Source organism: Homo sapiens, chromosome 3 (assembly GCF_000001405.40).
Source record: "Homo sapiens chromosome 3, GRCh38.p14 Primary Assembly".
Lineage (NCBI taxonomy): Eukaryota > Metazoa > Chordata > Mammalia > Primates > Hominidae > Homo > Homo sapiens.
This window is the reverse complement of record NC_000003.12, coordinates 17,394,168-17,410,819: the sequence shown is the minus strand read 5'-3', so window position 1 is coordinate 17,410,819 and position 16,652 is coordinate 17,394,168. Positions and strand designations below refer to the sequence as shown.

Below are 16,652 nucleotides of genomic sequence, written 5' to 3'. Positions count from 1 at the left end.
TTGTTGATTCATAAGAAGCAACTTCTAATTTAAGTTTTATATATATGAGATTATAGCAGTTAAGTCACATCTTCAGGTTCCACTTCTACTTCTAGTTTTCTTGTTATTTTTCCCCATCTAGTTACTTCTTCCACTGAAGTCTTGAAACCCCTCCAAGTCATCCATGAGGATTGGAATCACCTTTTAAAAACTCTTGTTCATGTTGCTATTCTGACTTTCCACCACGAATCTCTAATGTTCTTAACGACATCTAGAATGGTGAATCCTTACCAGAAGATTTTGAATTCACTTTGCCCAGATCTGTCAGAGAAATCACTATCATATGGCAGCTGTAGCCTATGAAATGTATTTCTTAAATAATAAAACTTGAAATTAGAAATGACTCCCCACTTCATGGGCCGCAGAATGGATGTTGTGTTAGCAGACATGGACACAACATTAATCTCTTTGTACATATCCATCAGAGCTCTTGGGTGATGAGGTGTATTGTCAGTGAACAATAATATTTTGAAAGGAATCTTTTTTCCTGAGCAATAGTTTCCAAAAATGGGCTTAAAATATTCTGTAAACCATGTTGCAAACAGATATGCTATCATCCAGGCTTTGTTATTCCATTTATACGGCACAAGGAGAGTAGATTTGGCATAATTCTTAAGGTCTCTAGGACTTTCAGAATGGTTAAAGATTGGCTTCAGTTTAGTCACCAGCTGCATTATCCTGTAACAAGAGAACAGCCTGTCCTTTGAAGCTCTGAAACCAGGCCTTGCCTTCTCGTCCCTAGCTATGAAAGTCCTAGATGGCATCCTCCTTCAATAGAAGGTTGTTATGTCTACATTGAATATCTATTGTTTATTGTAGCTACCTTCAGCAGTTATCTTGGCTTGATCTTCTGTGTAACTTACTGCAGCTTCTCAATCAGCACTTTCTGCTTCACTTTGCAATTTTATGTTATGGAGATGGCTTCTTTTCTTAAACTTCGTGAACCAACCTCTGCTACCTTCCAACTTTTCTTTGGCAGCTTCCTCACCTTTCTCAGCTTTCACAGAATTGAAGAGAGTTAGGGCTTTGCTCTGGATTAGGTTTTGGCTTAAGGGAATGTTGTGGCTGGTTTGATTTTCTATCCAGACCATTCAAACTTTCTCTGTATCAGCGGTAAGACTGTTTTGCTTTCTCATCATTCATGAGTTCACTGGAGTAGCACTTTTGAGTTCCTTCAAGAACTTTTTTTTTTCTGCATTCACCACTGGGCTACCTGTTTAGCGCAAGAGACCAAGCTTTTGGTCTAACTTGGCTTTAGATGTACCTTCCTCACTAAGCTTAATCATTTGTAGGTTTTGATTTAAATTAAGAGACCTATGACTCTTCTTTTCACTCGAACAGTACGAGGCCATTGTAGCATTATTAATTAGGGAGGTCCAAGGAGAGGGAGAGAGACAAGGGACTGTTTAGTGGTATGGCCAGAACACATACAACATTTATCAGTAAGTTCACTGTCTTATATGGTTGTGGTTCATTTTGCTTCATAACAGTTACAATAGTAACATCAGAGATCACTGATCACATATCCCCATAACAGATATAATGAAAGAGTTGGAAATATTGTGAAGATTATCAAAATATGTCACAAGAGTCATGAAGTGAGCACATGCTGATAGACTTGCTCAATGCAAGGTTGCCACAAACCTTCAGTTTATTAAAATGCAGTACCTGTGAAGTGCAGTAAAATGAAGTGACATAAAATGAGGTATGCCTCTACTCCTGTAATGTACTGATTGCTAATCTCATCTTTGAATATTGCTAAAAACTAGACAATAAATTTGAACATTATGAGATATCAGTATATATGCGTAACTACTTGGAAATAGGACATATTTAGAATATTTTAGGTAATAAAAATGGATTAAAATGGGGAAAAAAGCCCCACAAGATTTCAGTGAATATTTGTTTGATGTTGGAGTGGCTAAGAATTACTTAAGCAAGAGAAAACAATGAAAGGATCAATAAGAGAAAATAATGTTAGATCTTAATTATACACAAATTTAAAAAGCTTCAATGTATTGAAAATTAAGACAATTGGGTTAAAAAATTGGCTGATGAAGGCATGATGTCTTTAATGTATGAAAAACTTTTCTCTTTAATCAATAAGGCACACTAAAAAGCAGTATTATTAACAAAAATATTAATTTTTAAAAGTATAGGACTTGGGCACACTGTCTCATACCTTTAATTCCAGCACTTTGGGAGGCTGAGGAGGGAGAATCAACTGAGGCCCTTTGTAGACCAATCTGGGCAACATAGGAATACCCAGTCTCTACAAAAAGTTACAAAAGTAGCCAGGTGTGATGGTGTGTGCCTGTGGTCCCTCCTGAGTAGCCTCAGCTACAGTGGAGGCTGAGGTGGGAGGATTGATTGAGCCCAAGGAGTTCAAGGCTAAAGTGAGCTGTGGTTGCATCACTGTACTCCATCCTGATGACCAAGTGAGACCTTGTCTCTTTTTTAAAAAGTGTGTGTGTGTGTGTGTGTGTGTGTGTGTGTGTGTGTGTGTGTGTGTTGGATAGTCTTCTGAGGGCTTTTCATGTATTTTTGAAATTCTCATAATAATTCCTTTAAGTAGATTGTTATTACTCCATTTTACAGATGAGGAAACTGAGGCACAGAGAGGTTAAGAAATTTGCCCATGCTTGCACATCTAGTAAGTAACTAGTGAGCTGTGTAGCTTTCCTTACTGCACAGCTGTCTTTCTGATCCCAAGCATGTGCCTCTCATGTCCATTCTCTTAACCACTATCCTGTACTGCTTAAAACGGGCAAAGGGCAAAAAGCAGGTTTTACAAAGGAAGCAGTAAAATGACCCAAAAGCATGAACAATTTTTAGTTCACTAATAGTACAAATTAAAGTAAAGCCAGATTTTTTAAACTAATAGAGTGATGAGAATAAGAAATTTTTGTGGAGTGGTGATAGAAATGCATTTCTTCCAGCATGGGCTGGAATGTGTGTCTCATTTAGCAATCTTAGCCAGAAACCACTATTGGCAGAAGGCTTGTTGTGTTTGAGGATCACAACGCTACTGGGTTAAAGCTGGAAGTTCTGCTGGTGGCAGTACGGAATGTGTCATTGTCTTTGGTCACTCTTCTGGAACTTCTTTTCTGGAGAAGATGCATTTTGTCCCATGATCAAGTTTTGAAATTTTTGTGTACAGTTCATTACTCTAAGCATAGTATGCAAGATTATCCTTTCTCAAAATAAGTAGGGTCTGGCCAGTGACAACTGCACATGTGTGTAACGGAAGAATGATTGAGGGTTTTAGTGGCTTTCTTTTTCAGAAATCTCTCTTAAGATATTGCCGTCAGGGTTTCAGCTTTGATAATAAATGTTAAGTTATATGTAAATTTTATTGTGATATGATGGAATTTGGGAGAAATTTCATAAAGCTAATCTCAGTAGCCTCTACTCAAGTGATTCTTAATGTTTAGTTTGGTGCAAGATGCAGGGAATATAGGTCTAATTGCTTTATTCAAACTCAGTAAATGGTTTGGGACAATTAATTTCCAATTGTTTCCCAGTAGAGCAGATTTACTTGTATATTAATGAGGCACAGGTGTTAGGCCCCTGGTGTCTGCATGCCTGGGAGGCATATTTCAGTTGTTTATCTACTCAGCCATAGGTACTGCAAGGTACTCAAGCTTGCCTTTAACAGTTTTTACAGTGAGGCTTTTTAATTTTTTGATGTTTTTTTCAAATTTGCCCACACCTGTTAAAATTTTAAAACTGATCATGTAGAAAGAAGTTGCAATTTCAGTAGTAAGCAGCACTAACAGTTAAAGTAGTCTTTTATTATACTTTACTGTCCAGCCTGACATTAAAGAGAAATCGGATCATTTAAAGAGGTATTTCACATGAGAAGCTAATATAATCAACATTACACTTCTTTGTTGCATATTTTTGGAGCAGGTATGTTTTTGTCATTGGCTAAAAGAGTCATATATTATTCATTTTTTTCTTGTTTACTCACTGAACTGTACTATCAGCATTTTAGAGGAAATGGAATAGCCTCCATAGACATTATGAATTTCAGTAGCTGGCGTAATTATAGCTATCTACATATTCATTAAATCTACGGAAGAACTGTGTCCAAAAAGACAGCCATGCGTTCAGAAACAGTACACAACTAAATATATATGTTTTAAAAGTTGCATTTTTTAGACTTACTTAAAATTAATTTCCCGTAGAACTTCTCTCCAAGCAGAGGAATTTTAACAAAAGGATTCTCATGCTTTGGTTTCTTTCATATAGGAAAGAATGGGAAGAACTATTTGTAAACAACAATTACTTGGCAACAATAAGGCAGAAGGGGATTAATGGGCAGCTGAGAAGCAGCAGGTTCCGCAGCATTTGCTGGAAGGTAAGAAGAAAATATTTATTTACAGTTTCTGGTTGCAATATATCAACACATTACCTGATGCCCTGGAAGATTAGCCATGCAGGGGATCACTGAATTTTCCAAGAGACTTCACTCCCATTATTTTGACCATCTATGTTTATCTTTCATAGGACATTTACTAATAAGGTTGAACTACCTTAGTCCTGAGTAAGTGATAACGGTAAAAGAGTCATATAAAAAAACTATCTTTTCAACTGTTTTGATGGTGCCAAATTCAGAGCAACACTTTTACACTCCCCAGAGGCTCTTGCAGAAATTCTTGAAGATTTGCAAGAAAAGGCAGTGGTCGGGGGTTAACTTTTAGGTTCCTATTATATCAAACCATCATTTAGTTATCTTCCCTTTTTTCTTCATAAATGGCAGCTGGAAAATATTTTTCACATTTCTTTTAGTAGTGAGGGGTGGCAAGAAGTGGAAGGAAATTGGATCACTCTCCTTTAGAGGAAAAGGACCACTGATTACCAAAACTAGTAATAATAATCTATAGTTGTCTTTTTAATTGCTTTGAAATATTATTTGTTTTTGTTTTCTAAACATGAATTTATTTAGGTTTAGACTCATTTCTAGAATGAATTCTATCATAAGTTTTTAGGGTTATCTGCATAAATTAAGCATACTGAGTCTGTGCAAGTAAAGACAAAAACACATAGTGTATTAGACAGTTTTAGGTTCAATAATTTAGATTTAATAATTAAAATACACTTTTCTTCTTTTAGATGCAGGCATTAAAGGCAGGAGACCTGCTGCTAGAGTATTTGTATACAAGTATTTGTGCGCCACCCCCATTCCCTGTTAACTTTTACTATCTTTCATTTGTTAAAAATAAATCTAAATCCAAATTTATTTTAATATTGTATTAAACTAAATTAAATCAAATTTGTCATTTTAAGATTGTTTGTTATTTTCATAAGCTGACTGCCAGCTTTAAATTACATTTTTTTTCTGTAAAAGGAATGCTTTCATGTTTCAGGCTATGCCCTCAGTGAGACTGTTGTTCACTAACTTTTACCAGCTTGTTTTAAAACAAAACCTTAAATGTAGCAATTACTAATCAGACTTTGTGCTCCTTAATAACCCCCTTACCACTCCCATTAAGACTAGAATGTAAAATGTGAATTATATTTGAACCTCAATGAATTTTTCTTCCTTTTTAATGTAAATCTGAAGGGGAGCTTGATTCTATTTTGTGGTATAGCTTTTGTTATCTTGCTTTTTGGCCTTTGTTCACTTTTTGAATTTTCTGATTATATATTTCTTAAATATCTCCAAACAGAAATTGGTAGGAATTGAAATGATGATATGAATATGAAATATCATGACTATTATGTCTTTCAATGTTCAGGTGGTTCAGTTTGGCATAGTTTCACATTTTATATCTTAAGATTTTTACAAAAGTTTCTTCTGTTTTTCTTGACAGCTATTTCTTTGTGTTCTTCCTCAAGACAAAAGTCAATGGATAAGTAGAATTGAAGAATTAAGAGCATGGTATAGCAACATTAAAGAAATAGTAAGTAAATAGTATATTTAATTAATGTAATTGTTTTCTTATGTACACTTTAAAGTCCAGTAGCCTCTGATCCTTGTGTGTGTGTTTTCTCTTTCTTTACTAGCATATTACCAACCCGAGGAAGGTTGTTGGCCAACAAGATTTGATGATCAATAATCCTCTTTCACAGGATGAAGGGGTAAAGTTCGTCTTTGTTCATGTCTTAACCTCTTTTGCTGCTAAGAATATGTTTATATGACTGGTTGCCAGTCACCATGAAAGCAATATATTTCATGCTAACTGTTTTCTTTATTCCACATACAGTACCACCTAAAACCTGGTAGAAATGATTTTACATTACATATATATACTGTGTTGTAGAAAATTTATGATCTATTTCTGTGGAATGGCAGTACCAAGAAATCTCGGGATTCTGTAAGAACTAAGGGTAAAATATAAGACCATAAAGATGAGAATAAAACTTTTATCAGGGTTGCAGTGGGGAATTGGGTAGCTAAGGAAAGCCTCCCTTCGTCGTGAAAATAAAGAAGGGCTCACTTAGTAGGGCTAACTCGCAGGAAGAAAGAAGTAACCCTTTGTAGTGAGTCTATGAAGAAGTTTTTAAAAAATCAGGTCTACTTCTATTCATATTCCAGTGAAGACAAGGATTACTACTTTAAAGATATTATGTAACTTTAAAAGTATGAGTGCTCTAATTTTTGCCTATTTACCTAAAAGCACATTTTTTCCATTTAATCCATAGTGTTAGCATTCCTCTTTCCCAATACGTAAGTATTTATAGACTCTTCGGTATAAGAACATAAAATATTAAGTAATTTTTAAAAACTTTCCCTTAAATTCACATTTTAAAATGTACATAAAAACCTACTGGATTATAAAACCAAGTTCTGTAGAAAAACTTAACCCGTCTTTCTTAGTGCATTGGGAATTCAGGTCAGGTTCAAGCTGCGGACAGTTGGCCTATGAGTCCTGCTGTAATCCAAGCACCTTTCTGTTGTTACAGGGGTAGTAGCAGTAGCATATGGCAGTGAAAAGTATTGTTCACTTTATATAGATAATAAAAATTTTGAGAATATATACTAGTTTCTCATTATTCACAGGGGATTGGTTCCAGGCCCCTCATGGGCACTACAATCTGCAGATGATGAAGTTTCTTATATAAAATGGCATAAGTATTTCCATATAACCTGTGTACATCCTCTTGTATACTTTAAATAATCTCTAGATTACTTATAATACCTAATAGATTGTAAATGCTAAATAAAGTTGTTATACTGTGCTGTTTTTCTGATTTGTATTTTTTTATTGTTGTATTGCTATTTTTAATTTTTTCCCAATATTTTTGATCCACAGTTGGTTGGATTTTTGTTGTGGAACCTGCAGATGAGGAAGGCTGACTTTATATGATAATATCAAACTGGAAAAATTGATGTTAGAATAAAGATGTGTTTCTGAGATTAAATTAGATTTTAATAAAAATTACCCCAGTCTCAGGTTTTCTATCTGCAATGTGAAATGATCTCAGAGAAGAATAAATTTTAACCATTTACATTATTAAATTGAAATCACTAAAAGTAAAACAAAGGTGTGAGACTATATAATAGATTGTTTTCCTTATTTCAGAGTCTTTGGAACAAATTCTTCCAAGATAAAGAACTTCGATCAATGATTGAACAAGATGTCAAAAGAACGTATGTAGAACTATTTACATGTTACTTTCAATAATTCAAATTGTTGTTATCTCTTTCTAATTTTAACAAAACACAAAATCTGCAGTCAACTTAATTGAATGCAGTATTCTACTTGTGTTAATAACAAACTTGTTTTGACAAATTGTGATAATAAGGATTGTTTTCTACTCTAATGATACACATTTCTATGTTCCCTTTTTAAAAGTAAATTACATTTATAATATTGATAATCTTCAATAATATTTAATTAGTTTTATCAAGTTCCAACAATTATTTGAAGTCATATTTAAGGTTATATTGTATAGTCTTGTTGCCAGAAAAATTTATCCCTTGCTTTATGCATTTGAATCCCTTTCTAACCAAGTTACTTGTTAAAACTTGTTAAATGACAACTGTTATTCTTATCCTCACTTCTCTTCTTCTTGAAGCTATTCAGGTTTGCAAACAATTTCTTCTCTCAATCTACTCAGTATTTACTATATAAAAGGGTAATTTGTTACTTAGCATAATGTCCATAACTTTGATATATTCGACTGAGTCATAGGGTGAGGAGTAAATGGAATTTGTGTCAGAAGATCATAGAGTCGTAACTAACGGATGCTGTAATTGTGGGAAAATTACTTCAACATCTTTCCCTCTCAGTTTCCTCTTGTGTTAAATGGGGATAATAGTAATCATCTCTTATGATATTTGAGGATTAATTAATATCTGTCAGAATAGTAAATTAGATAAGTTTATACTTTAAACTATAAATCATTATATAAATGTTAGTAAACTTAATGTAATCCTTAGGATCTGGGATTAGCCAGGTATGTGCAGAATCGTGAGTATCTCTGGTGGCTTCTTCCAAGTACTTCTGCAGCTTTGCCTGTGTGCTCCACTCCTAGTTCAATTCCTGCTAAATCTATTATAATGTCAAGGCCTCTCGCTCTCTGATATTCATTTCTTTGCAAGTTATAAATACTGAATAATAAGATGACATGAACTACTACTAAGTTTGTAGTACATATTTAACAAATACAATTTCTTTAAAATGAAAATAATTCAGAGGAATCACAGGTTTAGAGTAAATGAAACCACAGGTAATTGGCAGTGGTAATAGGGTATGGGGTGGGAAGTTTGGGATGATTTTGGTTAGCTTGAGTTATCCAGTTAACTCAGGAGTAACCCAGTTAGGGAAGCTACTCTCAGAGGTATGGGTGATAGTGCTTGGTCTCCCTAGTATATAGGTGCAGAAAGTAGAGCACCATTGTATTAGCACACAGGAGTCCTGGTACTCAGTAAATATTTGAATAAAACAAAAGAAGGAGTTGCCTCAGTAAGTATATAGTTAATCAGTGGTAGTAAACAGGCCTTTTAAAAACAAAATGTGCAGTATATATTGTTAACTAAACTGTAAAGGCATCCCTTTTTAAAAATGCTAGGTAGTTATATTTAAAAACTTGCCAACTTCAGATTGATCTGTCTAATGAGCAGGATTATAATTAATCTCTCTACAGTTATCAAATGTAAATGAAGGGGCCACAGCGCTGGTGCCGAGTCACAGAGTCAGAGGCCATGGGGGCCAGATTGACTTAAAGAAATAGCAAACAAGAAAGGGGGAAAATAAACCTCTGATAGCCACACCAAACAGGCAGTGATACTGGGAATTTTTTCATCATTTTAGTTACGTAGTTCGAACATTTCTGCTTTGTTATGTAAGAAAGTGTTAGTTCTTGAAAACTTCTATATTTTCTGTTTTTTTCTTACAAAAATGCAAGATATATACACAGATACATATATACATATACATATACATATACATATGTATATTATACACATACATATATATGTATATTATACATATATGTATATTATACACATACATATATATGTGTATTATACACATACATATATATGTGTATTATACACATACATATATATGTATATTATACACATACATGTGTGTGTGTGTATGTACACACACATACAGTGTTTTTCTTAAAATGTATCTCTACTAGTTGATTTTAATTAAAATGGCAAACCAGTGACCCAAAGAAGGTAGCTAGGAGGCCCTATAGTTGATAGAATAGTAGGGAAATGTATTAGCGTTCTCTAGAGGGACAGAACTGTTAGGAAAGATGTATATATAAAGGGGAGTTTATTAAGGAGTATTGACTCACATGATCATGGTGAAGTCCCACAATAGGCCATCTGCAAGCTGACAAGCAAGGAAGCCAGTCCGAGTCCCAACACCTTAAAAGTAGGGAAGCCGACAGTGCAGCCTTCAGTCTATGGCTGAAGGCCCCAAGAGCCCCTGGCAAACTGCTGGTGTAAGTCCAAGAGTCCAAAACCTGAAGAACTTGGAGTCTGATGTTCGAGGGCAGGAAGCATCCACCGTGGGAGAAAGATGAAGGCTGGAAGATTCAGCAAGCCTGCTCTTTCCACCTTCTTCTGCCTGCTTTATTCTAGCCACACTGGCAGCTGATTAGATGGTGCCCATCCAGAGTGAGGATGGGGCTGCCTCTCTGAGTCCACTGACTCAAATTTTAATCTCCTTTGGCAACACCCTCACAGACACACCCAGGAACAATACTTTGCATCCCTCAGTCCAATCAAGTTGACACTCAATATTAACCATCACAGGAGGGTTCCATATCTTATTCTCTTGAAGACTCTCCCATGGCTCTCTCCACATTTAGATTAAGTCTCCTTGTCATTTCTATATAAATTTTCTGGCAAATACTTAGCTTGTGAGGTAAGGCGGTTAGTCTTATTTTAAGTCCACCAAATTATTTAATTGTAAAAGCTGAATAGCTTGTATAAATTTAGTTTACATCTTTATAAGGTACTATATGATCTAAAATATATGATTTTCATTTCAGTCTATGAGGAATTTCCTAATAATATAAAAGAAGTACAGCCCAGATAAGGTTATAAAGTGTTACTTGTTTTCTAGCTTTGTGATAAGAATTTTTGAAAAAATGTATATTTATGGAGCATCGCTATGTTCCATAATTGCCCTTTGCACTGTGGGGGACAGAGTGGAGTGGTGAATAACACAGATAGGATGCTGCCATCACAGGTTGTATATTTTAGTGTGGTGTCGGGGAGAGTGGTGAGACAGTAAGCATGTATAGATAAAGAGAATAATTACAGAGGGTGATCATTTTTCTGAAGAAATAAGGCAGAGTAACTAGATAGCTAGAAGGAGAGTAGCCAGTGGGATGGCTACTTTAGGAATAGTGATTGGAGAAGACATCTTTGAGAAGATGACATTTGAGCTGAGATGTGAAAAAATTTAAAGGCCAGACATCTGAAGAACTAGGGCAAGAACATGTAGACAGAGGGAGTAGCTAGGGCAAGGTTAGTTTCTCAATGAAAATGAGCTCAGTGTTTAGAGGAGCAAAAAGAAGTCAGTTCGGCTAGAGCAAGTGCTTTAGAGAAGGAAATCTGAGAGGAGAGCAAAGGCCAGGACAGTCTTGTAGACCACAGTAAAAAGTAAAGATTTATTCTGATTGCAATAGGAAGCTTTTGGAGGACATTGAGCAGTGGCATGATACCTACAAAGATAATTATGGCTGCTGTGCAGTGGGGCAAAGGTGGATGTAAGAATGGAAGCTGGAAAAGCAACTAGGAGTCTATTGGAGTATTTCAAGTTAGGTAATGTTAGCGATTTATTAGACTAAAAATGTAGTAATAAAGACAGGAGTAGGTAGATGGGTTGGGGATATGTATTTTATGTTTCAAAATACAAATTAGGGGATCATTATGTGTAGTTTTCTCACATTCATAAGTTTCTGTTCCGTTTTTACTGCTCTGTTTCAGATCCTTTTTACCTCCTGCCCACAGTCACTTACTTGTTTAATTGTTTTCTTGGGATCTAGTGTTTTTCCACTTCCAGTCCATTCCATGTGTTAACAGCCTAATCACTCTACTCAAAGCAGATTTATAATCACTCTATTTGCCTAATCCAGAACTTTCTATGACTCCCTGTGCCCTGAAGAAGAATGGACTTACTCAGTTTCTCTAATACATACCCAGTTCCCTTTTAGACAAGTGCTTCTGGCATTATTCAATGAACAGGTTTTGTGCTTTCCATTTTCAATGTTTTGGAATCTTTCATGCTCTCCTCTGCTGGAATGCTGCTTCCCTCTGCTTCCTGTTAGATTCCTAACAGCTAACCATTCAAGGCCTGAGTTCATCACCCAAGTTTATGAAACATTTTCCAGTCTTGGCAATTGGAAATCATTTGTGCCTAGTCTGTGTTCTATAGAATTTTCTTAATAACTTTTTAATATTATTTAATTTTGTTTGGTCTTTTATTTATTTAGGTCCATCTGTCAGTGTATTCAATACATTTATATTGATCTCCTTAGTGTACCAGGCACTAGAGATGCCAAGATAAATGTGATATGGACCCTTAAGAAGCTTACAGAGAAAACAGGAAAAAAAAATTACAATGCAGGATTATTGGTGTCATTAAGAGAAGCAGTATGTACAAGAGCTCTTGTGTTAGCCCAGATCTTACCTTTCAAACCTAGTAGTAAACCCTTTGAAGGCATGGACCTAGTCTTGTTTTTGTCTCACTGGTTATCACCAAGTTGATGCTTAATAAATGATCATTGATTGTGAATCTTATCACTGATGATCAGTGTTGTTCAATTTTAGTAATTATCTCAAACATCTTTAAATTTTCACAGACATAAGCACACTTCAAAAAATAATATTATCAACTTTCTAGTATGAGTTTAAACAAGATAATTTGATTTCATGAGCTGTGATTCTGCCATCATTATTTAATTTATTTGATCTGGATACGTCACTGTATTAAATATTATCTTCCTCTTCAGCCAATTTTAATATTCCTTTATGTCACCCTTTTTTGCCTCAAAGCGTTTTGCAATCATTTCAATTAATTGTTCTTTATCTTAACCTAATGAGGTTGTTACTATTCCCATTTTTATTACTGAAAAAACTGATAATCAAAAGGTAAATCAAGGAATTTCCATTTACAGCATTCTAATTTAGAACTTGAATTGTCTATTCTGAACAAATGTTGCCATGTTTCAAAAGCTGTAACATTAAAAGAAATTCAGTATTATTTAAAATGGTGGAAATAGTGAGTTCACGATAAAATATCATTTCCATATTAGATGCCAAAGAAGTATGTTATTTGGTCTATCAAGGTCTATTCTAAAAATATATATGCAGCATCTATAACATCATTTGCAGATTAACATATTTATAAGCTATTGCCAAATAGTCTCATCTTTTCTTCAAATGTGTTTTCCCTCTCTTGAATTAAATGATTAAATTTCTTTAACTGACTTTTATAATTGTAACTTTGACCATATTTAAAAGTTTATCTGATTGCCTATTGATATGCTGTTATCATCTTCAATATTTGATCTTTTGTATTTCTAGTTATTGTAGTTAACATTTTAGGTAGCTCATTCATAATTTAATTATTCTTTTTCTTACTTGTATCTCCATGGTGAGTTTTTAAAGATGCAGCTTTCTTGGGCCAGGTGTGTTGGCTCATGCCTTCAATCCCAGCACTCTGGGAGGCCAAGGCAGGAGGATCACTTGAGCCCAGGAATTTGAGACCAGCCTGGGCAACATGGCAAAACCGTCTCCACAGAAAACACAGAAATTAGCCATTAGCCAGACATGGTGGCACACACCTGTAGTCCCATCTACTTGGCAGGCTGCAGTTGGGGGATCTCTTGATCCCAGGAGGTTGAGACTGCAGTAAGCTGTGGTCATGCCAGTGCACTCCAGCCTGGGTAAAAGAGTGAGATCCTGTCTTAAAAAAAAGTAACTTTCTCATCTTAATGTTTCCTTTTGTTTATAGTGTATATGTATGCCATGCTTCAAACATAATCTATTTAAGCAAATTTTGTCTTCTCAGTTTTTTAAGTCTTATAATTTGATATTTTGCAAGCAAACTTTGTCTCCTCAATTAAAACACACCTTATTTGATATTTTCTGGATTCATTAATAATTGCTTGCAAGAGAAAAGGAGCAGGTAGGGAAGTAAAAAAAAATTCTTTAAATTCTTTTTTAAAAATTATAGATATGTGCTGTACTGTTTGGTAGATACCAGGCATATGTGGCTGTTTAAATATAAATTTAAATAAAATTAAAAATTTTAGTCATCACAGTAGCTATAGCTGATAATGGCTACTGTATATACTGTACTGGACAACTCTTACAGAGGATACTTCCATTCTTACAGAAAGTTCTTTGGACAGTGCTGTATAGATAATTCATTATTATGCTCGCCCCAGCAGCACAAATATTAAAATTGGAATGATAATTCATTATTGTTTTATTTTTGTGTAATATGTAATGTAAATGTCTACATTTTGCTTTTTATTCATGTTGAACTTTTAGATATGGCCTCTGTGAAACATTTACTTTTATTTCTTTTCTCTCACCTTTAGAAAATGACATGAATTTTTACAGTAAATCTTTCCTGAATTTTTGGTCAAATGTAGTTATTATGTTACATTGTAGTATGTGGATGGAAACTAGATTAGTTTTGAATTTTTTTCTATGTTAAGCATATTCGAAAGTTATTTTACTGAGTAATTTATTGATTTTTTTTTTTAATTTAAAGATCCTCTTTCTCAGTTCCTATTTTGAAAAAGAAATACTCCCAGTAATTTGGTCCATTGATGTCACACTTTACAAAGTTAAGATGTCCTAAATGTCGGTATCTCCTACACAGTTTCCTCCAAGCCCATTTTTTATTGAAATAAAAAACAAATTCCTCTGGGAAGAAGGATTTTACAAGCAATTTCAGAGCAGAATTGATTTTGGTGTGTGTTAATGCCGACAATCTGCCCAGTGTTAAAATGTTAAAGAGAAAAAAAAAATACAAGCTGCCATATTCCTGTGATCACACCAAAATAGCAGCTTGTATTTATATTTTCAGTCTCCTCGAGGTGGACTGCAGGCACACATGAATGAGTGGATGTACTTGGTGTTGTGTTGTGATTTTATTTAATGCAGGCAAAGTACATGCTTGTGCATGCACGACCAGCCCTCACATATGCACTTGTTCACAGCCGAGAAAGTGAAAACTACAACACAAGCCGCTCTCTAAGAGTTGTCGGCAACCTGTGTGTGTTTCTTAAATATTAAAGAGGGGGGAAAACAGATTTTCAGGAATATGAAAAATAATGCTTCTGTCAAATGGCCTGTAGTCCTTCCTCATTTGACACTTAAGATAAAAGCAAAATAATTACTATTGCATATGTATATTTAGTATCTTTCCTGTACTGCTCCTGTACTGTTTTAAAGTATATTTTTCCTATTTCTGTTTCATTTGAGCATGCAAATTCTTAGCATACATTTATTCTAATTTGTGAGATTTTTAAAAACTTAAATTTTTTTCAGTATTTTAATGAAAATATAGTTGCAGTGCTTTCATTAGCACCCTGGTGCTCCTAATCTTCGGAATTTAGGAGCAGTAGTACATAGCGGCAGCACAGTTATAGGGGTACCCTCTGAAATGCTGACCAATAGAGTTTTTGCTTTTCAGATTTTCTTTGTTTTAAATGAGCCCAGATTTTTAAGGACTATTTATAGTTGTAGATTTATATGATTATGAGAAGGTTAAAAAGTAAAGTTTGGTGAGTAGTAAAATAATATTCCCAGTGGGCACAGCCTGTTTGGTAGTGTAACACAGTCTTTTTAGAACATTTCAGCAGATTTAGAATTGAAGCAGCTTTGGTACTTCAGGGGTAATGCTTTGTATTTATTTTTTTAATTTTTTTCTTAATTATTGAAAAACTTCAAAATAAAGTCTGTATTTCCATTTGCGACACAGTCTCGTCTGGCACTGAAAGTACATATACAGTGTATCTACCTACGTTTATATTTTTTCCTAATTTTTTACCATTATGGTAGGAACAGAAAGATGTTTTTGGAGGCGTGGAGGAGTGGGGTAAAGGGCTTGTTAAGTGACTCAGGCATTGTAGAACTAGAAAGAACCTTAGATGAAGACCTCTACTTAGATGGTGACAGATCCCATCTCCTGAACTGCAGCCACACCTGCCTTCTCCCAACCTTATATCCTGTCATCCCAAACCGCCCCTCCTTTTTGTTTTTGCTTAATCTTCTCAACTGTATGGTGATTTCTTACTCCACCTTCCTTATTAGCCTCTTGGAGATTTTTCTGCTGCCCTCTTGGGCTGAGTCCTACTCATTGTCATCACAATAAATTACTACTTCCTTTTTTTTTTCACTTTAAAAAATTCTGTATTCACCTCCTGTTTATGAACTATGAAAGCTATATGTCATTCTTTTCTTCACTGAAAACATAAATTAAAGAAAGCAGAACCTTGTTCAGGCTTTGCTTTTGCTTTGCCTTCATATCCCTAGCGCCCGATTGCGTCGTCTTAATTTTCCTCAAAGGTTTGGTTGTTTGTAAGGTTTGTAGGTATATTTGTCCATTCAGCAAATACTACTTGAGAGATCACTTGTCAGCCACTGTTTTAGAAGTTCAAGATTCAAATAAAGAAAAGACTGCCTCTTCTGTTCTTTAATATATAATGCATATTTTATTGTAATTATCTTCTTTTAAAATTATCTGTAAGATGTCTGTTTTTATTCTCCTAGATTTTCTTGAGTTTATATGTTTTGTAGCTTCATATTTCCCAGTACTTGGCACCCATTGTAAGCATTTATGTCATTAATAGTCATCTAGTAAAATCCTTTTATTTTGCAAAGGTGAAAAGTTGAAGCTCAGAAAGACTATGACATGAATAAACAAATATAACTTGTTAAGGCCAAAATGGAAATGGTACCTGGGACTTCTGTTTTTCCATTACTCTATAATTTATGTTAATCTTGTTTGTCTAGATTCAATGCTTCTTCAAGAAATGTTTATTAAATACCTTCAGTGTGCAAGCACTTTGTGAAGCAAAACAGGACAGAAACATAAATGAATCAGTATCTCAAATCTTATTCAAAAAGTGATGGAGACTAAATAAGTAGATACTGTTTCTGCCTTCTGGGTTTA

General features: G+C 34.6%; 1 protein-coding gene across 65 annotated transcripts in view; it reads left to right on the top strand.

Moving 5' to 3' along the window:
* TBC1D5 (TBC1 domain family member 5) overlaps nucleotides 1-16,652 on the top strand; it is a 585,470-nt gene that overhangs the window by 331,812 nt on the left and 237,006 nt on the right. For all 65 annotated transcript variants that reach the window (XM_047449296.1, XM_011534283.4, XM_047449314.1 and 62 more), the window contains 4 exons: nucleotides 4,294-4,402; nucleotides 5,859-5,948; nucleotides 6,052-6,126; nucleotides 7,572-7,639. In XM_047449296.1, coding sequence (XP_047305252.1) covers nucleotides 4,294-4,402; nucleotides 5,859-5,948; nucleotides 6,052-6,126; nucleotides 7,572-7,639 — 342 coding nt within the window. The remainder of the gene's footprint in view (nucleotides 1-4,293; nucleotides 4,403-5,858; nucleotides 5,949-6,051; nucleotides 6,127-7,571; nucleotides 7,640-16,652) is intronic.